The sequence below is a fragment of the Homo sapiens genome, chromosome 1 (assembly GCF_000001405.40).
Source record: "Homo sapiens chromosome 1, GRCh38.p14 Primary Assembly".
Classification (NCBI taxonomy): domain Eukaryota; kingdom Metazoa; phylum Chordata; class Mammalia; order Primates; family Hominidae; genus Homo; species Homo sapiens.
In genome coordinates this window covers 101,366,497-101,392,369 of record NC_000001.11, presented here as the reverse complement: position 1 = coordinate 101,392,369, position 25,873 = coordinate 101,366,497, and the positions used below count along the sequence as shown (strand labels likewise).

The window sequence follows — 25,873 nt, the reverse complement described above, 5'->3', positions numbered from 1 at the left end:
GTTTTAATTTATGAAGCATTGATCCAGAAAAATAAAGGACTAAAATAAGGAAGAAGAAAGCACATGACCAAGCAGAGGAGAGGTCCTGAACATAAAAATGGTGTGGTCCAAAGATGACCGTGTGCAACAGCCCTGGAGGAAAGCAGACTGGAGCGGAAGGATCAATGCGCCACAGTAAAGCGACGCGGCAGTGAGGGCAGGAATAATTGACAGATCATCAGACATGATTAAACCATTTGGGGAAAGCTTCTTAACTGTGTAGAGCAGACCTAATGGAGCATTTGGAAAAGATAAGAATAGGTCTATAGGAGACTAAGGAGCTAAAACACATAAAGCAGTTTTTGATTCCAAAAAAAGTTTTTAAGTAGTAAAAAAGAGACTATCGAGCATAATAAAGGGAATCATAGTATATTAGCAAGCTATTCAGTAAAATATATTTTCTACATAATCATGTAAGGACTGATATTTTGTTGCTGTTGCAGTAAGATTGTGGCCTAATTAATTATAGTAGACAAAGGAAGGGAATAAATTTCGGCCAATGCATCTGTAATCTCAGCACTTTGGGAGGCTGAGGCAGGGGGATACCTTGAACCCAGGAGTTTGAGGCTGCAGTGAGCTATGATCATGACACTGCACTCCAGCCTGGGCAATAGAGTGAGACCCTGTTTCAAAAGAAAAGAAAAAGAAAAAATTGGAGGAAGTGGTAGAGAGTTAAATCATCAGCTGTGATAAAAGGAAGTCAATAGAAAATGTCTAATACTTTGGATTCAAGTAATTACAATATGTTGAAATTAATATTAGAACAGAGGGTAAAAAGAGTTAAAAGCGGTCTACTCTGATGTGGGAGAAGTAGGGCAGAAACGGCCACTTTTCATTAGAATCCTTGGGTGATATTTGTAACTGTGCATGTATTGTATTGACAACATTTATTTAAGAGTAAAACTAAGTTTATGAACCAAGAAAAACCAAAATTTTAAGTAATTTTTAAAAATGTGTCCTTGGAAACGGCTGGTTTAGTTTTATCCTTTAGCTCAAGAGTTTGAAAAGTATCAAAGACACTGGGGAAAATGAGCCCTAATGTCTGCCTTTGACCCGGGAAAGGCAGGGTCTCCAACAGATCATCATTAGGCATCAATAAGTTCAGGAAAGAAAGACTTCCCTGAGGGATCTTAGTTATCCTGTCACACGGCGGAGAATAAGGGTGGTCCTAAATGAAGATGTTATTCCAATAAACGAATCCCCCAGCTTATAGAATAGCTTAGAAATCCATGGAAGTTTAATCGATTTGAATTAGGTTTTACAGACATAGTGTTATAATCTCAAGTATGCCTTTCTGAATCCTTTCAGGATTTTAGTAGCAATGGATCCAAGGGGTGGGAGTGTGAGCTTGGTGGAATAGAAAGAGCACTGAAATAGAAACCATGAGATCTGGTTTCTTACTCCAACTAAATATGCAACACTAGGATGTGACTTAAATGTTCTGAGCCATAGTTTGCTCGTTTTAATTCCCTTCGAGTTTGAAAATACTATGATTTGGAACTTGCTACCCATGAGAAATGCCATAGTATAAAAATACAAAGTAGAAGCTTGAAATTCTTTTGTTTTGTCTTCCTTTTGAATTTTAGGCCCATTGTCTCACGTTTATTTGGAAATATGAATATTCAGGATTCATAAAGAGAATATATTGAACACGTAATAACCTCAGCATGAACAGTTGCAGACAAAAGTTAGAAAGGGTTCTTAAGGCCAAAAGTAGCAGAATACCTTGTCCTTTAGCTTCCAAGTGCATTTTGACATGAAAACACTCATAGAAAATGTAAAGGACAAGATAAAATAATGGCTCTTGAGAAGCTATTTGGATCATTTGAGAAAGTTCAATTGAATAGATAATTCCAAAACATTCACTTACTCTCTTTACCACAGTCCATCTACTTGGCCTTGTGCTGCAGAGACTCAGAAAAAAAAAGTTATCCTGTTTATGTGTGTGACCAGATAGACGCAGAGCAGTAAAATAAGTCAACACAGTGGTGCTAAATTTGGGGACCACACTTACAATATTTCCAGGCTTTATTTGATTTCATGGTCTGTTTTAAGTTTCAGAAGTATTTTCCTCATTTTGGCTGACCACCCACACTTCTTCTGCTCCCTGTAAGTATCTACCTCTAAGCATGTACAGCATATGTACCTCCCTCCTCCATGTGTACAAACATTCATCACAAACAGAGTCCCGGCCATGTGTCAGGAGGAGATGTGAGGCATTATGAATGAAGACAGGAGTTACAACCAAACATGCAGAAGACAAGCTCCAATGATATCTCACTGTCTGCTCACTTTTCACCAGCACTATCCAGAGAATAGTTTTTCTCCTTCTGCCTTTTAAGTCCCAAAGTTCTTTTTAATCTTTTTCTGTGATAGTGTTCCTCTGATGCCTTCTCTTGATTCAAGTCAAGCAGCATATGAAACTGCCTCTGGCAAGATGCCTGTTCAGTGGGTCAACTGGCATATCATACATATCATACTGCTGGAAATAAGAATATGAAGAAATCATAGAGGAGCTACTGCTTATTGAGGGCTTACTAAGAATCAGACATCCTCTTGCCTGCTGCCAGGTAAGACGTGACTTTGCTCCTCCTTTGCCTTCTGCCATGATTGTGAGGCCTCCTCAGCCACGTGGAACTGTGAGTCAATTAAACCTCTTCCCTTTGTAAATTAAAAAAGAAAAATCAGACATGATGTTAGGTGACTATTACATAACACTTGTCTCATTATTCCATCTTTCAGATTATGAACTTGAAGCCCAGAATGATTAAATCTCTTTGTCCAAGATCCCCCAAATAGAATGTGGCACACACAGGATCTGAACCCCTCTCTGTCAATCTCCCAAAACCCCAGTGCTTGATTCTATGCCACTGTGGCAGCCACAAAAGGTGATGAGTCACTGCAGTAGCCTGCTTACTACACAAAGCACACAGAGATAAGTGATGGTTTAAATGAGCTTCACATGACTTAGAGTGGTTCACAAACCATAGCAACATAAGAATCATCTTGAGAACTTGTTTTAAAAAAAAAGTAGATTTGCAGGTTCTTCTCCAAGGCCCCTAACACAAACCTCTGGGGATAGAGCTTAGAAGATTAGCATCTTGAACAGCCTCCACCAGTGATTCTTAGCAGGTGGCCCTCACACCATACATTGAAAAACACCAGTTTAACAGCCCTTGGCAAGCTGTTTCTCTAATCCAGTGGTTCTCAAAGTGAGGTCCCCAGACTAGCAGCACCTGGAAACTTTGTTAGAAATGCAAATTTTCAAACCCTACCCCAGATCTACTGAAGCAGAAACCCTGGGACTGGGGCCCAACAATTTAGTTTAACAAGCCCTGAGGTGATTCTAATGCATATGAAAGTATGAGAACCAATGCTCTAACCTAATGTGATCTTGACATTTTCAGGCCTGACCCACATTGCCAACACCATGGGAAACAGGCCTCCAAAACCTTCATGAATTTTATCCAGGGTGCTCGACCAATCCCACTAACTCATCTCTCACCACAGACTCTAACCTGTTCCCACCCTCCTGGATTCTAACCTTGTCATTTATTCTCTACCACCCTTCACCTGACATTCAGATTTATACATTTGGATCCATCCCTCTCTAATCATAATGTGGGTGGGTAAAAACTTACCTAGTTCTCATGTTTCTCAGAGCAGGCCCCAGAGACATTCGCTCTGGTGAGTGCCCTTGGCCCTAAATGGGGTATCCAATTATTCTGTTTCACCCCAGCTTCTTTTGAGAACTCTTGAACTTGACATCTGCAGACTCAGTCTATCATTGTTGGACTCTGTAGTAATGTTGTTTGTTGTTGATATGGTTTGGCTGTGTCCCCACCCAAATCTCATCTTGAATTCCCATGTATTGTGGGAGGGACCCAGTGGGAGGTAATTGAATCATGGAGGCAGGTCTTTCCCATGCTGTTCTCATGATAGGAAATGGGTCTCACAAGATCTGATGGTTTTATAAACAGGAATTTCTCTACACAAGCTCCCTCCTTTCTGTCTTTGCCTGCCGCCATCTATGTAAGATGTGTCTTGCTCCTCCTTGCCTTCCACCATGATTGTGAGGCTTCTCCAGCCATGTGGAACTGTGAGTTTTCCATTAAACCTGTTTCCTTTGTAAATTGTCTAGTCTCAGGTATGTCTTTATCAGCAGCATGAAAATGAACTAATACAGTAAATTGGTACCAGTAGAGTGGGGCACTGCTGAAAAGATATCCAAAAATGTGGAAGTGGCTTTGGAACTGGGTAACAGGCAGGGGTTGGAACAGGTTGGAGGGGTCAGAAGAAGACAGGAAAATGTGGGAAAGTTTGGAACTCCCTAGAGAGTTGTTGAATGGCTTTGACCAAAATGCTGATAATGATATGGACAATGAAATCCAGCCTGAGGTGGTCTCAGATGGAGATGAGAAACTTGTTGGGAACTGGAGTAAAGGTGACTCTTGTTATGTTTTAGCAAAAAGACTGGCAGCATTTTGCCCCGTCCTACAGATTTGTGGAACTTTGAACTTGAGAGGGATGATTTAGGGTATCTGGCAGAATAAATTGTTAAGCAGCAAAGCATTCAAGAGGTGACTTGGGTGCTATTAAAGACATTGAGTTTTATAAGGGAAACAACATAAATGTTTGGAAAATTTGCATCCTGACAATGTGATAGAAAAGAAAATCCCATTTTCTGAGGAGAAATTCAAGCCAGCTGCAGAAATTTGCATATGTAACAAGGAGCTGAATGTTAATCCCTAGGACAATGGGGAAATGTCTCCAGAGCATGTCAGAAGTCTTCACAGCAGCCCCTCTCATCACAGGCCTGGAGGCCTAGGAGGAAAAAGTGGCTTCATGGGCTGAGCCCTTGGTCCTTGTGCTGTTTGCAGCCTAGGGACTTGGTGCCCTGTGTTCCAGCTGCTACAGCTGTAGCTGAAAGGGTTCATTGCAGAGCTCAGGCCATGGCCTCAGAGGGTGGAAGCCCCAAGCCTTGGCAGCTTCCACATGGTGTTGGGCCTGCAAGTGCACACAAGTCAAGAACTGGGGTTTGAGAACCTCTGCCTAGATTTCAGAGGATGTATGGAAACATCTGGATACCCAGGCAGAAGTTTGCTGCAGGGGCAGGGCCCTCGTGGAGAACCTCTGCTAGGTCAGTGCAAAAGGGAAATGTGGGGTCAGAGCCCCCACACAGAGTCCCTACTGGGGCACCATCTAGTGGAGCTGTGAGAAGAGAGCCACCATCTTCCAGACCCCAGAACAGTAGATCCACTGACTGCTTACATTGTGTGCCTGGAAAAGCCAGACACTCAATGCCGGCCCATGAAAGCAGCCAGAAGAGGGGCTATACCCTGCAAAGCCACAGGGACAGAGCTGCCCAAGACTATTGGAACCTACCTCTTACATCTCACATGACCTGGATGTGAGACAGAGTCAAAGGAGAACATTTTGGAGCTTTAAGATTTGACAGCCCTGCTGGATTTCAGACTTGCATGGGGCCTGTAGCCCCTTTGTTTTGGCCAATTTCTCCCATTTGGAATGGCTGTATTTACCTAATGCCTGTACCCTCCATTCTATCTAGTAAGTAACTAACCTGCTTTGATTTTACAGGCTCATAGGCAGAAGGGACTTGCCTTGTCTCAGATGAGACTTTTGACTGTGGACGTTTGAGTTAACACTGAAATGAGCTGAGACCTTGGGAGACTATTGGGAAGGCATGATTGGTTTTGAAATGTGAAGATATGAGATTTGGGAGAGGTCGGGGTGGAATGATATGATTTGGCTCTGTGTCCCCATCCAAATCTCATCTTGTAGCTCCCATAATTCCTACATGTTGTGGGAGGTACCCAAGGAGAGATGATCAAATCATGCAGGCAGGTCTTTAACATGCTGTTCTTGTGAAAATGCAAGGGTCTCACACGATCTGAAGGTTTTAAAAACAGGAGTTTCTCTGCACAAGCTCTCTCTTTACCTGCCACCATCCATGTAAGATGTGACTTGCTCCTTCTTGCCTTCCACCATGATTGTGAGGCTTCCCTAGCCATGTGAAACTGTGAGTTCTCCATTAAGCCTCTTTCCTTTGTAAGTTGCCCGGTCTTTGGTATGCCTTTATCAGCACCATGAAAATGAACTAATACAGTTGTATATCCAACATATAGACTCTCCTCCCCCATCCTCAACAGAATTCAATTCCTGTTCAGATATCTACCCCATTTTTACCTTCAGAGACTATTACACATCAGTCAATGTGCCAATTATCACATGACCCAGGGATGATTTTTGACTAATAGATGAGCATATAATCTGTCCAATCAGATGAAAAGGAATGAATTATATTCCCTGCTTAGGGAAAAGGCTTCCCTCTTTCTCTTCTACTGGACATAAACAAGGAAGAAAACAGCTCCTGTTGCCACCTGCATCCATCTTGCTACCACAGGGGATCCACCCTTAGGATGGTACCCACACCGAGGCAGCAGAGTGGAGGCAGATAAGATCCCAGGTCCTTGACAATGGCAATGAGCTCAAGATTGTACTGTTCTTGGGCCCACCCCATCTTCTACCTCTGTACTTCCAATTCTTGAGACAATAAATTCTCTTCATATTTAAAACAGTTCAAATCAGGGTAGTCTGGCATTTATAGCCAAAAACAATACTTCCCCATTTAAAAAAAAATTGTTCTTCAAGGCACCTAAATTTTGGTTTATTCTCTTCTGAATTCTGCCCAGCATCACTTTGTTCACTGCATTCAGACTCCACATCTGCCTAGACAAAATCCCTTCTAGCAGCTGCCTTTTCTCTGATTTGCCAGATAAGTTATTGTGCTCTTTTGGCTTCCTCAATCCCCTAAAACTTGTGTAATACAAATCTATCTCTTCTCAAGTTTCTTATATTTCTTAAACTCCTGCCTTTCTCTCAAAGTTCCTTTATATGTTGTAAATTATTCCTACATTTCTTAGAAGACCAGTCAGTATCATCAACATAGAAATCATGGTCACAGTTTTATTTGACACTTCATGATTTGGGAAAGTAAAACATCTGAGACACTAATTGTTGGGTTGATCCAAATATAGAAATGCTGTAAGACAACACCAGCTTCATTGGAAGATGAACCAAACTCTACCTGGGACTCCAAGCCCCCCATAGATACTCACATGTCTTTTATTGAAAATTAATGGCAGGGCATGGTGGCTCACACCTGTAATCCCAGCACTTTGGGAGGCCAAGGTGGTTGGATTGCTTGAGCCCAGGAGTTTGAGACTAGCCTGGGCAACATGGTGAAACCCAGTCTCTACAAAAATTAGCCAGGCATGTTGGCTCACACCTGTAGTCCCAGCTATTCAGCAGGCTGAGGTAGGAGGATTGCTTAAGCCCAGGATGTGGAGGTTACAAGAAGCCCAGATCGTGCCACCGCACTCCAGTCTGCATGACATAGACCCGGTCTCAAAAAATAAAAAACAAAAAGGAAGATGAATGAGAGGTCGAGAGGTTATTTCCTTAGTAATTTCTCCAATAAAAAAGAATATTTTTATTTGGCAGTTTTAATTGCTTTTAGCAACAAAAGGTAGAGAATTATGTTTTGTTCCAATTTGGGGAAGTTTTCTGTTTGGCATCCTCTTATTTTGGGAATCCTATCATGTGTCCCTAATATATAAACCTCTTTGCTAACCTAGGCAGGACACTGAAGCAGAGCATAATTTGAGACGGGAAATACTAAAATAAATTTCAACCAATGTGGCCTTGGAAATAATTAATGTCTTCTTTTGATCAATTTTAGAAACTTTGGGGAGTAACACTAGAGGCATTGTTTCTTCAGTTGAAATGGTCACCCATGTTCAGAGCAGCAAGGAAAAGGAACCTATCAGATGGGGCTGTGGCATAGACTTCCCTGATGCTCTGATGATTTCTTCCCCTAAAAAACACTGCAACAAGCCTCACTGGGCTATATCCCAGTGGATTTAAAAACAAATGTTAAGGACTAAAAACAAAGAATATAAGGTAGAGGAATTTCCCAACCCTGTTAAGGCCCCACTAGGCCATCCTTCCCTGAGTTCTGCCTGAGAGTTATGGCCGTAGCTAACAATAAAGTTACCTCCTGTTTCCACTGAGTTATACTTCCTGTTTTATGTACCATTTGGGAGAATTTTGTTGAAGGGATGACCACAGTTTGGGGCTAATTTGGCACTTTTCTGGAATCCCTGTGGATAATGGCATCTTAGAGCCAACCTAAAATTCCAACAACTGCCAAGACAAAGTCTATGTTAACGGGATACCACATAATCAAAAAATATATTGGAAAGTTGGGAAACCTTTTTAAATATATCTACCCCTTTCAAGTAAAATAGCAACTTGTGTTCAATAATTCCCTAAGTCATTACAACATCATTGATTCCTTATGAATTATCAGAGGAACTGGGGATTAGCTTTAGTGGTAAGAAAATGTAGTCATTTTCCTAGGGAATAGAATAGGTGCAGACTCTAGAAGAAGATATCTCTAGGTTTCAAACCTAAGTCTTCTCCACTAACTGTATGGTTATTTATATTACCTCTCTGGGCATTAACATAATCATCCTAACATCCCAGAGTTGTTTTGGGAGTTTCATGAGATTACATTTATAAAGTGCATAGTTCAGTACAAAGTTTGTTGAATGTACTACGTAAACATTTGTTCTTTTTCCTCCTTTACCCTTATTAAATTGAAAATGTATACAAGGATCTTTATTAACCGGAATATTTTATTAATCAGATTACCTATTCCCCAGTTAAGGGTTATCATATAAAATAGTAAAATTTATTTACCAAAACTCTGGTATATCTATTAGAATATTCCTTTGTGTCTCAATACTTCATTCCCTCTTTGCCTAAATAAGAAATTGGCTCTTTTCCATTTTCTTCATCCAGTCCATTCTTCATAGTTGAGTGTAGTTGCTGTGAATATCAATCAGCAATTCCATTGTGAGGCGAGCCCCATATGTGTGACAGAAGGTTCATCATTATTCATTTAACAAATCAATGTGCTGGGTGCTAGGAGATATAAATGGGTAACACATGGTCTTCACCCCAACCCACCTGCCCCAGAAAACCATATGTAGAGGGGATACAGGTATCTCTAGTGGCAGCTGGAATTCAGTGTGTTAGCTGCTCTGATAGCATAAAGAAAGAAGTCAGAAAAAGTTTTCTGGGGAAAGTGATGGTCGCTTAATGAATGAGAAGAGAAAAGTGAGGCAAAGAGGAAGGAAAGGGTGTTCAAGGCAGAGGGAGAAGTGTGTGCAGAGGAGTTAAAAGAGTATGGTGTATTCAAGAAACTAGAAGGTGGTCAGTACAATTGAGGGTGAAAGATATCGTTGGAAAGAGAAGAAAGGGTCATATAATGAAGGGTCTTGTAAATCATGTTTAAAAAAATAGGATATTAGAAACTATTCAATGATTCTAAGCCAAGGATTGAATCAGTTTTGCTTTCAGAAAAAATCAGAACAGAGAGAATAGAAATCAATACACGTGTTAAGTATCAATTGATTTTCAAAAAACATGTCAAGGTAATTCAACAGGATAGTCTTTTCAACATTGATGCTGGAGAAACTGGAAACTTAAAAAAAAAAAAATGAAAGCTGACTCTTACCTCAAAACCATACAAAAAATTAATTTGAAGTAGATTGCATACCTACATATAATAGCTAAAGGTATAAAACTTTCATAATATAGAAGAAAATTTTTATGATCTTGGGATAGGGCAAAATTTTCTAGGTAAGATGCAAAAATCATGAACCCTAAAAGAAAAAGAATTGTAAATTCCATGCAGTAGACTGAATAATGATCCCCCAAAAGTGTCCACATCCTGTCTCCAGAACCTGTGAATGGGTTACCTTACATGGCAAAAGGGACTTGGCAGATGTAATTGTGTTAAGGATGTTGAAATAGGGAGATTACTATGGGTTATCTGGGAAGGCCTAATGTAATCACAAGAGTCCTTGAAAGAGGGCGGCAGGAAGTCAGAGTCAGAGGAGGCACCTTTGACAAAAGAAACCAAGGTCAGAGTGCTGTGGCACCTTGAGGGAAGGAATGCAGGCAACCATTAGCGGTGGGAAAAGGCAAGGCAATGGATTCTCCCCTGGAGTCTCCAGAACGAATGCAGCCCTGCCAACTTAGATTGGTCTTCTGACCACTAGACCTTTAAGACAAATTGTGTTGTTTTAAGCCACTAAATTTGTGGTAATTTGTTACAGTAGCAATAAGAAGGAAACTAATACATTAGACATCAGCAAAATTAAAAATCAATGTTAAGAAAATAAAAAGTCAATCTACAGACTGGTATAAAACAAATACAATGCATATATCTAATAACAGGCTTGTACACAGAATATATAAAGAAATCTTACAATTCAATAAGACAACTCCATTTAAAAATGGGCAAAAAATGCTAAGAGATGCTTCACAAAAGAAGAAACGTGGATAGCAATAAACACATGAAAAGGTGCTCAAAATGATTAGTTATGGAAAATGAGAAATTAAAGCCACAATGAAATCTTACTGCACACCCATTTGAATGGTTAAAATTTAAAAGATTATAATACCAACTGCTGCCCAGCATGTGGTATAACTGGAACTCTCAGACAAAATTTGTAGGAATATAGAATGGTATAGCTACTTTGGAAAACACTTTGTCCATTTCTTATAAAGTTACTTGCATAGTTATCTATGGCCTAGCAATTCCACTCCTCAGAATTTACTCAAAAAAATTAAAAATGAAACGATATATCCATAGGGTTGTGTATACAAATATTCACAGTAACTTCATTCATTGCAGCCCAAAACAAGAAACAACCTAAATAGGCAATAACCAGTGAACAGACACACAAAATGTGTTAAATGCATACCATGGAACACTTCTAAGCAATAAAAGAGAAGAAACGATTGATATATACCATATGAATGAATTTCAAAAACATGATGCTAAATTTTAAAACAAAAGCCTACACAAAATAATATATACTGTATGATTCCATCTATATGAAATTCTAGAAAAGGGAAACTAATCTATAGTAACAGAAGACTTCTTGGGGCAGGAGGGTAGCAAATAATTAATTGCAAAAGCGGAGGAGGGAACTTTTTATAGGAATGGAAATATTCCGCATCTTAATTGCAGTGATGTTTACACTGATATATGCATTTGTATGTAAATAATAACCCAATGAAACTGATTTCTTTTAAAACATAATGATTAATAAAATGTTGGGAACTGGGAAGAATGGGCATAAAAGGACCATCAAACTAAAGCGGGTATAGGGGGGTGCCACAGCCAGAGCAGCAAGAACAGGGGGTGGAGTCAGTATGCCCAGCGGCTATATGTGTTAATAGCAGGAGTCACCTTAAATGATCACTTAGAGGAGTTGAGCACACTGTGTGATTCTGTTTATTGGGCAGATGGCAAGAGTAAAGTATTTTTCACTGTTCACTGTCTGATGAGAAGTTTTTAGCCAAGTCAACAATACATATTTAGGGGAAAGTAGATTTTGCATGGGACAATTTTATACTGTATGATGTCTTACACATCAGAGCACTGAACTGAATGGGCTTAATGAGAGAGCTACCTGGAGATATTGCCAACAGGAAAGAGCTTTCTAGAATTGTTTGAATAGTCATAACTCTATAACAAAAATAATCAAGAAGAAGAACACAGTCTTTGTCTGAGCCATGGGGATCCTCCATTTATTGTACCATTTCCCCTTTGAAAATGGATAGCCTTGGGTTGAAAGAGGCTACCCACTGATTCCGCAGTAAGTAAATGAAGAAATACATTACTTCTTATTGGTGTTTATCTGAACTGGCTCAAGGCAATGTTGGTATTGTACCCTGCAATGACAGTGGAAGAATTTGTACATAGGCTAAGCAGTTATGCATACATTACAATTAATCAATGTTGTCCTTAGGGATAATGATGCCCAGTTCTTTCATCAGAAGCTAAAAGAGTATATTTGTATTCCTGCATGGCCCTTTTGACTAGGGGGTAGGTAGCCAAGCTACTGTTCTCTTGGAGATCTGCCTGTCAAGACTCAAGGTAATGACAAAAACCCTAGCAAACTTTCCTAATTATTCTTGTCTGACTTCTTACTGGTCGCTTTCAACCCATGAGTGAAGAGAAAGAGAAAGAGAAAGAGCGTGTGGCTTCCTCTACTCACTCAGTCATTCATTTAACTAGCAAAAGAAAGTCAGATAACATTTACATTGAAATGGGCTGCCTCAGAATGTACTCAGGAAGAGGTGTGCACCTAACCATCAGGAAAGGGTGATTTAGGGAAGTGTGACAGAATGAGTTATGGCTCCCCAAATATGTCTGTGTCTTAAACACCAAGAAATGTAAATGCATTGCTTTAAATGTAAAAAATGGACTTTGCAGATATGATTAGGGTAGGAATCTTGAGATGGGAGATTATCCTGGATTATTTGAGCGGGCCCATATAAGAGGTCTGTATAAGGGAAGGAAGTAGAGAACCAGTCAGAGTAGGAGATTGGCTGATAGAAGCAGAAATTGAGTAATTTGCTTTGAAGATGGAGGAAGGGGGCCACAAGCTAAGCCCTGAGAGCAGCCTCTGGAAGCTGAAAAAGGCAAAGAGACAGATTCTCCCAAAGAGCTTCCAGAAGAAATGCAGTTCTGTTAATGCCTTGATTTTAGTCTATAAGATCCATGTTCAGCTTCTGACTTCCAGAACTGTAAGACGATACATTTGTCTTGTTTCAAGCCACAAAAGTTGTGGTAATTTGTTCTAGCAGCAATAGGAAACTAATACAGGAGAAATCCTATATTCTATGAGGGTTAGACCAGGAGATATGTATGTATGATTCTAAATTACAAAATGTGAAATGCTAATTGATTGACTACTTCAAATTCTGTGCCCAGCATGCTCTTCCAAACTCAAAACTCTGTCCCTCCTTCTTCTTAGTCATTGCTCTTGGTGTTCGTGTGTGTGTGTGTGTGTGTGTGTGTGTGTGTTTTCTACAACCTACCTCCATTTACAAACTGATGAGAAGCAAGTCAAGATACAGAAACAGAAGCCATTTCTTTTCTATTTGCCCTCATTAGTTCTCTCCTTGCCCTACTTTGGCCACCAAACACTTAAATGCATTCATTCACTTCCTGTGTGTCTGTTATGTCCTGTATCCTTGTGTCCTCTGCCCTGTCTTCATGTAACTGACAGCCTCACTCCCTACCCCCAACCCGTAGGGGACTCCCCATTCCCAAGAACGTACCTACTAACTATTTCCATTACTTGAAACAACTGGCAATTTGGCACAGAAGCTAGCTAGCATTGCTTATGAAATCTAGAGAAGCAGTGTTGGTGCCCCATTCTAAGTGGGATAGAGAATGGGCTTCTAGAGGGCCAGTCTCATGCGATTAATATAAGTAATCATTAAGACATGAGTTCAGCTATGGGACAAAAATAAAAGTTTGATCACTGATGTTGCCTCTGGCAAATCTTGGCCAGAAGAGGGAGAATGTTAACCGAAAATAAAGTTCTAAGCTCCCCATCTGACTGAATGACCCTCCCCTCCTTGGCCAACGGGATTCCAAATTAACCTGAAAAACTAGTTCAGGTCACGACAGGAAATGAGAATCAGGCATGCCTCATTATACTCTCCTGCTTTTAGAGTTTAGACACAACTGACCAATATTAACATGAAAACGGAGATCTTAAAACAGCCTCTTTGTAGCAATGACATACAAAATTCCAACCTGCCTCTGGTATAACATCACAGGACAAACAGTAGGCTCTGAAGGAAACCAAAGTATTTTATTTCTTTGACATATTTTGAAATGGCCCTGCAAAGCTGTTTCTTGTGGGGGAAATTTGCATTCTGTAAAGAATCTCCTTCCATGACTAGATATTTTCTGGAGAGTCTGTTGCCTTTTGAGGTGTGAACAGAGACATTCACCATATATTCTCTCTGAGGCCTGCTGCTTGGAGGTTTCATATACTTGACAAGAACCTTGGCTTTCAAAACCCCCTTTATCTGAACTCGAACTGACTTCAACTCTTCAGGCAGCATGTAAGTCTTTCAACCAATTGCTAATTAGGAAATCTTTGAATCCACCTATGACCTGGAATCCCCTACCCCCTCTGCCCCCATCATGTCCCTTTTTTCCAGGCCAAACCAATATTTGCTTTATGTATATTGATTTATATTTTTGCCTGTAACTTCTGTCTGTCTAAAGTGTATAAAGCCAAGCTATAACTCAGCCAACCTGGGCACATGTTCTCAGAACCTCCTGAGGCTGTGTCATGGGCCATGGTCCTTAACCTTGGCAAAATAAACCTCTAAGTTGATTGAGGAAAAACAGAAAAGACAGGAGGGGTTTTTTTGTTGTTTAAAAAAAAAAAAAAAAGAAAAAGAATAGAGACATTAATTCAGCATTACTGTGCACCAGAAAGATTACATAAACATTCATTTTATCTTTAAGTGCCCCTGCAAATTGTTATTTTCTCTTTATAGATGAAGACACTGAAGCACAGAACTGTTAACTTGCCCAAGGTTACCCAACTAATAAAATGGCAGCACTAAGACCCAAACTCGGGTCCTCCCCAACATTCTTTTTAGCTAAGTAACAACTAACTCCACAAGAACATTGGGTAGAATGAAACACTTCCACATCTCCTTGTGTGGACCATGGTTGGCCCCCTGCTCTTTGGTGCAGTCTCCAACCACTTCCTCCTAATTCCAACCCCACCTGCTATTTGAGGGTGCATTTTTTTCCTGTAAGTCAATGAGCAGGACATGGAGGCAATCTCATTTAGCACTTAGCAATTCAGTATTTTGTAATAAATGCAAGCTCTGTTGGGTTTTCCTCAGGCTCCAGCTCTGCCACCACTTTGTCAAGTCTCCCATCAAGCACTGGATGCAGAAGGGAAAAACCGCTTCTCTGTGAGAAGCTGAGCCTCAAGGCCAGAGTCATTTCCATGGATGCCATCAATAGCTGCAGCTCTGTAGCCTGAATCAGGGGTGACTTACAAATGAGGGCAGGCTATTTGCAGCTCTCCAATTCCACAATTCTCTATGATTCTCTCCTCTGGGATCAGTAGGCCAAGCATAAGCCCTGGAGAGGAATGACAAAATGAGTCTGGATGCCTGGGAGAGACCTTGAGGCCAACCTGAAAATGGCCTCCTATTTTCTTTTTATTTATCTCAGAGAGACATCAAGAGAAATGCACTGCCCTTCCGAACCCCAGATTCCCAGAGGAGACAAAAAAACACACGAGTAGCCATTGCTTAAAAATCAATTTTGAAACAGTGGCTCCACAAAATATTGAACACGCAGTTTTATATTTCTTGATGAGTTGAGGTCAGAAAGTGTTACCATAATTGGTATATTGTATTTGCATCCCTAGAGTCTAAATGTGTGGGAATGGCGGTAGGGGAATTAAGAACTCTTGTTTCTGTAGCTTGGTTTGCTGGCAGCTCGTTTATGCTTGATGACCAGACCCGTCCATATATGCATGTGATGTTGTGCCTCACTAATGCTTCCTGACATGCTGTTGATTTAAGACTAAAATCCCTCACAATAGAGAATTTCACTGCTCTTCAAAGGTTCAAAAATAATGATGTGTTGAGGATAAGGATGAACAATGCATTTTATTCTTCTTTCTCCAACAGAGAACCAGGGAGAAAAAAAGTTATTTAAAGGCAAAGATAAGAAAAAGGCCCTTTAATACAATTACAATTTCAAAGGGCTTGCCAAGAAAATATTTTCAGCTGCCAAGTCAGCAATTTTCCAAAGATTTCCTAACAGGAAGAAAGATTAATGGAAAAGAAATTATCAGGGGAAATTTAACTATAGTTTAAAGACCAGCAGGTGATAAACAGCACAGTATTACTTTTTTATTCATTATTTGCCTCAGAGACACCCCCTAAAAATCTAACCAAACTGACAGACAGCAGCCCCGATCTGACCTGATAAATACCAAATCTGCACTAATAATCTCAGTCTGCGCTTCTGTGCTTTGCCCACCACATCCAGTACTGGTCTTCAAAGCACACAGCAGCACCCTCCCTGATTTGCAGATAAGGCAATCTGGAGCTTCAGAAAACGAAAACCTTCCCAGGAACACAGGAAAGCCCTGTGAGGAGAAAAATACCTAAAGCCCTCCCCGCTTTCACTCTCATCCTACTCCTGACCTCTTCATCCCCCACCCTCAATCCTCCATCACTAGCTTAATTCCTCTCTGACCCCCACCAAATGGATCCTTCAGTAAATCCAGACAATGGGAAACGGTGACCAGGTTTGAACCATTGGTTTAATGTGACTCCTGAGTTTTCCTTGGAGATTTTAATTTCTGGACTTAAGATTTATACCTAAGGGCGATTTGGTAAACTTTTTTTTTTTTTTTTTTTTTGGGGGGGGAGACAAGTGTCTCACTGTGTCGCCTGAGCTGGAGTGCAGTGGCACAATCCCGGCTCACTGCAACCTCCGCCTCCTGGGTTCAAGTCATCCTCCTACCTCAGCCTCCCAAGTAGCTGGGACTACAGGCACCTGCCACTATGCCTGGCTAATTTTTTGTATTTTTAGTAGAGACAGGGTTTCACCATGTTGCCCAGGCTGGTCTCGAATTCCTGAGCTCAGGCAATCCACCCACCTCAGCCTCCCTAAGTGCTGGGATTATAGGTGTGAACCACAGCGCCTGGCCAGGGTAAACATTTTTTATAGCAAAGTGGGCAAGAATCTTGGCAAATTGCCATGGGAAATATAGGAGTTCTATTCCTGAGCTAATTAACTTTCAATTTACTCTATAGTAGCTTATCCAGTTTGTGTGTTATTTATATTTTAATTCTCCTCTCTCTTGCCGTTTACATTTTTAGCCATTTCAATGTCTTCAAAACTTTTACAAGACCATGGCAAGGAACATATTTTGCCATTTTATAGTATGGAAAGAAATTTTAAATCCTAATTACTTCATCAGTTTGATACTATATATGGTGAGAAAGAAGTATAAATCACAGTTACAATTAAAATTGGAAAATTTTGTATTTTATTTATTTTGCTATTAACCTTTCAAACATTATTTGTGAGGAGCCTACAATATGTAAAATATTATGGAAAAAAATTACATGATAGAAGGGAAAACAGAAAAACATACACGGTTTGCAGGTTGATAATCACACCTTATATTTGTTTTATAGAATTTCCAAAGTGTTACTATTTATTCTTTCATATATATTGAATGAGATATGATTTATATATTTATATATTATTTATTATTATATTATTTATTCCTTCAGTAATATATATTGAATGCCTACTACGTATCAGACTCTGAGATAGGTTCTGTATATACCTTAAATTGCTCACTAGCAGAAATTTGAGTCTCATTATTTTCAAGAAAAGGTCCACCACCACAGGGCACAGTGATTCACGCCTGTAATCCCAGGACTTTGGGAGGCCGAGGTGGGCAGATCATGAGGTTAGGAGATCAAGACCATCCTGGCTAACATGGTGAAACCCCATCTCTACTAAAAATACAAAAAAATTAGCCGGGCGTAGGGGCGTGCTCCTGTAGTCCCAGCTACTCGGGAGGCTGAGGCAGAAGAATCGCTTGAACCCGGGAGGCAGAGGTTGCAGTGAGCTGAGATCGCACCACTGCACACTAGCCTAGGTGACAGAGCGAGACTGTACCTCAAAAAAAAAAACAAAAAAAAAGAAAAGCTACCATTATTCATAGCTACCATTTTACTAGGTACTTATTATATGCTAGTACAATATTAGGTACTTTATTAACAATAAAGACAGCCAAAATTCATTGAGCTCATCAGATGCCAGGTATTGTGTTAAGAGACAATTCTCAAATGTTCTTTTGCATTCTTACAAATCTTGTAAATGAATGCCCCCTCGCTGTTTTTGTTCTGGGCTTTTTTTCTGATGTTTGTAAAACTACAAGCATTGAAAAATAGAGATATCTTCTTCCCAATAAAATAAAAAGGTTTACTTACTGCCTATTATTTTAAAATGAGGTTCCCATCAACCAAGTGGTGGATAAAGAAAATCTGGTATATATGTACCATGAAATACTACTCAGCCATAAAAAGGAATGAAATAATGGCATTCATAAGCAACCTAGATGGAATTGGAAACTACTATTCTAAGTGAAGTAACTCAGAAATGGAAAACCAAACATCATACGTTCTCACTCATAATTGGGAGCTAAGCTATGAGGATGCAAATGCATAAGAATGATACAATGGACTTTGGGGACTCAGTGTAAATGGTGGGATAGTGGTAAGGGATAAAATACTACACACTGAGTACAGTGTACATTACTTGGGTGATAGGTGCACCAAAATCTCAGAAATCACCACTAAAGAACTTATTCATGTAACCAAACACCACTTGTTCCCCAAAAACCTATTGAAATAAAAGACAAACTTACAAAAAAAAAATAAAGAAAAAAGATACATCAGGCATAAAAAAGTAAAAATAAATAAAAATGGGGCTCCCTAAAGTCAGACTTTCTCTCTGTAACACAACCCCATTGCATGTGCAGGCATCATCTGGCCCTCCTAGCTTTGCCTTGTGGGAAGTGGAGCTCAAGTGACCAGCATAATTTCTGATCCTCTGGCTACCACTGTGGTTGTGAATAATAAAGTCATTTGTCTCTGACCCAGGAGTCTTGTGTCTTTTGGCAGCACCCATGGACATGTAGCAGGCTAACTTGTTAGCTTACAAGTAGGGTAAAACCTCAGATCCTTCTTAGTTCTTGACACTGCTAGGAATTTTACATATGTGATTTCCCTGAATTTTCTCAGCAACCTGTTCATATTATTTCTATTTTATAATAAAGATTCTCAAGCTTAGAGATGTTAAAGAACCTGCTCAAGGTCACTTAGCTGTCTTCTCCCTCTCATTTCCCAACATTTTTTGTTCATAGTGAATGTCCTGATTCCAGCCCGGGTCGAAAGAGTCTAAGGGTATGAGGGTGAGAAATCCCTCTGAGATTCCTCAGAAGTATTTGGAAACAAATGAAAACATGTCCCATGCTCATGGATGGGTAGAATCAGTATTATGAAAATGACCATACTGCCAAAAGCAATCTACACATTCAATGCAATTTCCATCAAAATACCATCATCATTCTCCACAGAACTAGAAAAACTAATCCTAAAATTCATGTGGAAGCAAAAAAAAAAAAAAAAAAAAAAAAAAAAAAAAAAAAAACCAACCCTAATAGCCAAAAAAAGACTAAGCAAATAAAAAAACAAATCTGGAAGCATCACATTACCTGACTTCAAACTATACTACAAGGCTATAGTTACCAAAACAGTATGGTACTGGTATAAAAATAGGCATGTAGACTAATGGAACAGGATAGAGAATCCAGAAATAAAGCCAAATACTTAACAGCTAACTGATCTTCAACAAAGCAAACAAAAACATAAAGTGGGGAAAGGACACCCTATCCAACAAATGGTGCTGGGATAATTGGTAAGCTACATGTAGAAGAATGAAGCTGGATCTTCATCTCTCACCTTATACAAAAATAAACACAACATAGATCAGAAACTTAAGTCTAAGATCCAAAACTGTAAAAATTCTAGAAGATAACATCCAAAAAACTCTCCTAGATATTGGCTTAGGCAACGAGTTCATGACTAAGAACCCAAAAGCAATGCAACAAAAACAAAGATAAATAGATGGGACCTAATTAAATTAAAAAGCTTCTGCACAGCAAAAGAAATAATCAGCAGAGTGGGAGAAAATATTCACAAACTATGCATCTTACAAAGCACTAATATTCAGAAGCTACAAGAAACTCAAAGCAGCAAGAAAAGAGCAAGTAATCCCACCAACAAGTGGACAAAGAACATGAATAGACAATTCTCAAAAGAAGATATACAAATGGCCAACAAACATATGAAAAAATGCTCAACATCACTAATGATCAGGGAAATGCATATCAAAACCACAATGAGATACCACTTTACTCCTGCAAGAATGGCCATAATTTAAAAATAAAAAAAAAAAAGCAGATGTTGGAGTGGTTGTGGTGAAAAGGGAACACTTTTACACTGCTGGTGGGAATGTAAACTAGTACAACCACTATGGAAAACAGTATGCAGACTCCTTAAAGAACTAAAAGTAGAACTACCATTTGATCCAGCAATTCCATCACTGGGTAACTACCCAGAAGAAAAGAAGTCATTATATAAAAAAGACACTTGCACGTGCATGTTTATAGCAACACAATTTGCAATTGCAAAAATATGGAACCAGCCTAAGTGCCTATCAACCAACAAGTGGATAAAGAAAATGTGATATATATATATGTATATATATATATATATACACACACATATATATCCACACACACACACCATGCAATACTACTCAGCCATAAAAAATGAATGAAACTATGGCGTTCACAGCAACCTGGATGGAGTTGGAGACCATTATTCTTTTTCATGCAACCAAACACCATCTGTTACCCCAACACTATTGAAATAAAAATACAAATAGGAAAAGAAATACCTCTGAGATAATACATTGACTAAGGTGCAGAAGCCAGTAGGCCTGGAAGGGAAGCAATGGGACTTTTCCCAGTGAAATGAGTCGTTTTGGCTCTGGAGGCCAAACCCAGCTTTGCACTCGACAGGACAGACTGGACTAAAGTACTGAGGCAGAGGAAGGTCGGAGAGAGTCATATTTTGGAAATTGATTCTATTGAAAGAGATGTAATAGGGAAAGGAACAGACCAGTCTTGAAAGAAAGGAAGGGAACCAAAGTCAGAGGAAGGAGAGATAGAGGCAGAGATAGAATCAGGGAGGCTATGATTGCAGCTCACCCATTAGCTTCACCTTTCAGGCTCACCCAAAAACAAAATTTGCCCATCAGAGCTCAGAGTAAGGTGTCCTATCAAATGCTCCCAGATATGACTCATACTGAGAAACTGCTCTGGAAATAAACTAAGCCTATCAGTTGCCAAATCTGTGAACCTAGATTTGCTTTCCCATATGACTCAGAGAGGTGACAGAGGCCACATGAATGAGCTTCTTACTATCCTCTCAAACACAGATGTACTGGCCAAGAGAACAAGGGTTTGAACACTTCCAATGCTGAAAAGCATTGTGTGCAAAGAGAGGAACCCTGTTCTCATGAGAGAAAACAGAGAGTGGGTCCCTAAAGATTTAGACTTCTGCCACTAGAAGACAGTGTGGCAGTCAGACAGGGAGAATGGATTATCAGCATAGCTTTCAGTAGGAAAACAGGGCATGCCATTCAATCGAATGATTTTCCTCAGATCTGATGGCCTAGCATGTCCAAAACTTGGATTGCACCCAGGGGTGAGCCAGAATCCTGAATACCATATTTAAAATGATTTAACGTTGGAAAAAAAAAGGACGTGGGGAGAGTTACGTAGCATCAGAGGGCACAGACTACCAGTCTGCATCTGCCCAGATCCAAATGCATGGACAATTCTGATTTCTGCACGTTAGACTTTTGTTGTGATCCTTTGGGAAAAACTCACAAGTGCTATTCATAGCCTTTGATCATATATATATATATATATATCTCGTGGCAAAATAGAAGTTACAATTAAGTGGTGCAATTCAAGAGATAAAGGTCAGACAATGCACTAAAATACTGCTTAATACACAAAGCACTGTGCAAAAGTGCTGATACAGGAGAAATGACTACTGATTAAATCCTGGGCTTCAAATCCCTGCTAATGCCATAAAATTTAATGGATTACAAAGGGAACAGACAAAACACAAGGAAAACTATGGGAAGCACAACTTCAGTGATTTTCTTAATTAACGCAAGTTCAGAAAATATACACTGTTTTTTCTTATTAAGCTAATCCTTTAAAGATCAGAGCAAAATGGCATCTTTATTTATACTTACCTAATGCAGCTTTCTATCCCCTCTTCTTGAGGAGAATTTACTATTCACATAAGGAATAGCCCTGGAGACTTCAGGGCCTTTCCTTTATGGCCAGCATCATTTGGGCTTTGAAAAGTTCAAGCCAAATGTCCCCACAGGCCTCCATCACACTCTCTGCCCTGTGCTATCAATGTGTCCAACAGCAGCAGTGGAGGGCCAGCTGGGGTCACCTCCAGCATATTGTCATTCTCTGTGATTACACAAGGCCTTAAGAGGGACAATCATGGGCAGGTCTTGTTCTCTTTATGCTTTGCTTAGAGAGGAGGATGATTGCAAATGGTCTTCACAACTCCTCTCAGAACACAGCAGAAGGACCATGCCACCCGGGTGATCCAACTGAAACAAGCCTCAACTGTGACTTCACCTTACAAACAAAAGTTCTACTGAAAGGATTACAGAGAGGTAAATCAATGCATAGCCTAGAGAACCAGGCTCAGAAACAAACATGTATCAGGGGAGACAAGGTACAGCCAAGACTGGGCCACAGGAATGGTCTGCTTAGAACTTTGTTCTAGACACCACCACCTCTGGCAGTGCTACAGCTCACCACCATGCTCACACTCCTCCCTTCTCTCCCTCAGAACTTAAGGTCCCGGGCCACAGCATCTATCTGGCAGAGACAGGTCACATGCCTGCCCCCGACCTGCCTGATAGCTGTAGGAGGGGATATCTATTCCTATAGGAAAGAATCCCTATAGCAAAGAATATCCAATTCCATGAACAGGAAGCATATGCAGATGCCAAGCAGCCACAAACTCAAAACTCTTCAATACATTTTCATTGCCTGCAGCATAAAGTCCAAGCCTTTTAACTTGTCATAATTGTAGGGTGAGGATGCCTCCCAGTTTTCCTGAGAGGGTCCTAGTTTTCCATTTTTGCCCTAGGATAATTATTAGTGAGACTGCTTTCACTCTCAAAAGTGTCTTGGCTGGGTGCGGTGGCTCACGCCTGTAATCCCAGCACTTTGGGAGGCCAAGGCCAAGGCGGGAGGATCACTTGAGGCCAGGAGTTCAGGACCAGCCTGGCCAACATGGCAAAACCGCATCTCTATATTAAAAATACAAAAAAAAAAAAAAATAGCCAGGCGTGGTGGCACAGGCCTATAGTCCCAGCTACTCAGGAGGCTGAGGCAGGAGAATTGCTTGAACCCGGGAGGCGGAGGTTGCAGTGAGCCAAGGTCACGCCACTGCACTGTAGCCTGAGTGACAGAGTAAGACTCTGTCTCAAAATAAAAAGCATCTGGGTTTAGAAAAATGGTACAGTCACCCTACCTTTAACACTCTTCATGATAAGGCACCTGCCTACCTTTCCAGCCTCACTCTTCATTATTCCCTGATTCAATTTTATCCACTAGCATAACAAAAATGCTTATGGTTCCTTACATTCAACGTGTTGTTTTTACTTCCAAGTCTTTGCTCACATTTGCTCTCTGTCTGGAGTTTCCTTTACATTACGTCCATCCCATTCTTTAATATCCAAGTCTTTCTTGCATTAAATGGGTTGTCGAGCTATATGCCCCTCCCCACTCATGATCTTCTGTCCACACATATATGGATCCTTGTGCTCATCAAGTTACATTGTGATCATCTATTTAGAAGCCTAGATGCTCCCTTACACTGTAAGTTGCTTGTGAGGAGGTACGACTTACTTATCTTTGATCTATCAGGACCTAGCACAGTGTCCGACACATGGAAGGTGGAGCTCCCCAAAATAACTCATGAATGAATGAACCGTACAAATTTGAAATAAGAGATGAATTGGGGAAAGACCAGAGTACGGTAGTAAGTGGAAAGAAGAAAGAGTCAAGAAAAATTATAAATGAGAGTGGCTTGAGTGGTCAGCACAGGAATTTGCTTCAAAGGTGGCTAGTAGTCCATATCCCAGGCCCCAGTCATTCCAAAAATCAAGGTCAGTGCTCAAAGGGGTTTGCTGATGGGTGGGATGGAGCAGGGTAGAAGAATACTGTACCCAGCTGATTTGTTAGATTTTAGCGCAAGACTCAGCCAAGATATGAGAGTACAGTAGACAGGTCCAGACCCTCGGGAGCTAGGCAGAATGTTGGCCTCTGCGGGGGAACTATGGTGCAATCCAGAGACAGGCCACATGCATAGGAGGATAAAAGAACCCCAAGGCCTGGGAGACTCACTCGTACCCCAGTTACTCCAAAGATAACAAGCTGCCTAGAGCAAGACTACTTCATGATGTTCCAGCTGCCATGATCAAGTCTGACTTCAGGCCCTGACCAGATGAAACTTCAGGTTAAAAAGCCACAACACTCACCATCTAGCAGGCTGGCAAAGGCAGAGACTGTCATCTGCAATTAATGACAACTGGGAGCAAAGCTTTAGATAAACAAGATCTATTTGGAGGGGGCGGGAGCATCTATATGCTTACCCTCTGAAGAATCCAACGCATACATTTTGGTCTATTAAACTACGTGTTTATCTTCCTTCAAGGCAAAAAGGAACATCTGTCACTGAGCCCTTGTACTTAATTTCCATTTTGAACACTGGGCTTCATCAGACACCACAGTCAAATCACAGAAAGCAGAAAGCTCACAGGGCAGGGCGGCAAGAAAAGGCCCACAGAATTGCTTTTCAAAGTTCTTAATGGGCTAGCACGTGTCCCCAGTGTATGTCCTCTGTCCTGCATTTCGTTATCTGAGCTGTGCTCCATTGTTGTTCATTTTGCTCTCTGTTTGGGCTTCTCTGGGAGCAAAATAGCACTTTTCTCTCTCACTTCTAGCATTGGTGCTTCTTGGTGAGGAGGGAACAGAGACTGAAATGGTTAGGAGACTGCAAAAGAAACATGAGAAACTTCTGTTGATTGCTAGCTGAGCATCATGATAGGTTTTAATGTCACACCGTGCACTAGTCTCAGCTCTCCCATTTGCTAGCTGCATGTTTCTTAATGAGCTTCATCCCAGAGCCTTTATGTAACTGACTTTGCATTGACAGTTCTTAACACATGGTAAACACGCAGTAACTATTAGCTGTTATATGAACTTGTACCCGAAGTGTACTGGGTAGTATTGGCCTCTAAGACATATAACTAGTGGGAGAACAATCCTTCCTCTACAAAGCTTTGGACTGCATGCACCTAGTTCTGTATCATCAATACTTTTTAAAATCAAACTCCAAAACCCAGACTCTAATACTTCCAGAGTCTGGAATGATAACCAGAGAACCATAATTTCATCAGTAACTTTGCTTTAAGCCCCTGACATTTTAATAAACTTTCTGTTTCCCAGGATGTTTCTTTATTATTTTAGAAGCCCAACAGAAGGAAAGTAGCACCTCTAAGTACCTCCCTAACTTTCAAAGCTCCCCTGTGAGAAAAATCATAAACTCTTATTCAAAAGAGATGGTGTCTGGTTGGGCAGAACCAAGCTGTCTCACTGGCAAAATTCCATCTGCCTTGAATCATTTTCCTTTTTGGCCTGGAAAATTACAGATGATTAACTTGTCCTCTAATAAATACCAGGAAGGCTTTCCTACAGAAAAATGTAAACAGTTAATTTTGAACTATATTATAATTATTACAATCACCCTCATGCAAAATACAGAAATGCAGGCCATGAGCCTCAATTTCTCCACTCTAACTGAAAATGGACCAGTTTGAAGACAGTCAGACTGCAATAAGCACTTGTAGCCTGGCATATTTGGCTTCTCTCTCTGAGGCCTGCCTTCCTGCCCAGGCCACCATCTCTGACTCTCCTGTCTAGGACAGCCTAGACTCCTGGTCATTACATGTTTCTGCTACATATGATTCACCAGCACCTTTATGAAATCAGGGTGCTCTCCTGGGTTAGGACTCTAGAGTTTGCCAAAGATTCTATCTAGTTCTCTGGTCCCTAGTTTCTGACTTTTTTATAAAAAAATGTATTATAGAAAAAAAATCTAATTACACAAAAATAGAGAACAAAGT

At 40.4% G+C, this 25,873-nt stretch overlaps 1 long non-coding RNA gene across 1 annotated transcript in view, besides 4 other annotated features; it reads right to left on the bottom strand.

The window, feature by feature from the left end:
* Positions 5,320–5,439: an enhancer, noted in NCBI's record as "active region_1404". NCBI's record gives its function as "activates an Ori minimal core promoter by ATAC-STARR-seq in GM12878 lymphoblastoid cells {active_cell/tissue: GM12878}" and the evidence as "EXISTENCE:reporter gene assay evidence [ECO:0000049][PMID:35858748]".
* Positions 15,057–25,873, bottom strand: part of LINC01307 (long intergenic non-protein coding RNA 1307) — a 53,477-nt gene continuing 42,660 nt past the window's right edge. The window contains exon 5 of the long non-coding RNA NR_126402.1: positions 15,057–15,112. This is a non-coding gene — a long non-coding RNA (long intergenic non-protein coding RNA 1307). The remainder of the gene's footprint in view (positions 15,113–25,873) is intronic.
* Positions 20,460–20,599: an enhancer, noted in NCBI's record as "active region_1403". NCBI's record gives its function as "activates an Ori minimal core promoter by ATAC-STARR-seq in GM12878 lymphoblastoid cells {active_cell/tissue: GM12878}" and the evidence as "EXISTENCE:reporter gene assay evidence [ECO:0000049][PMID:35858748]".
* Positions 20,670–20,729: an enhancer, noted in NCBI's record as "active region_1402". NCBI's record gives its function as "activates an Ori minimal core promoter by ATAC-STARR-seq in GM12878 lymphoblastoid cells {active_cell/tissue: GM12878}" and the evidence as "EXISTENCE:reporter gene assay evidence [ECO:0000049][PMID:35858748]".
* Positions 20,903–21,197: a silencer, noted in NCBI's record as "tiled region #14885; HepG2 Repressive non-DNase unmatched - State 24:Quies". NCBI's record gives its function as "represses a minimal TATA promoter and a strong SV40 promoter by Sharpr-MPRA in HepG2 cells {active_cell/tissue: HepG2}" and the evidence as "EXISTENCE:reporter gene assay evidence [ECO:0000049][PMID:27701403]".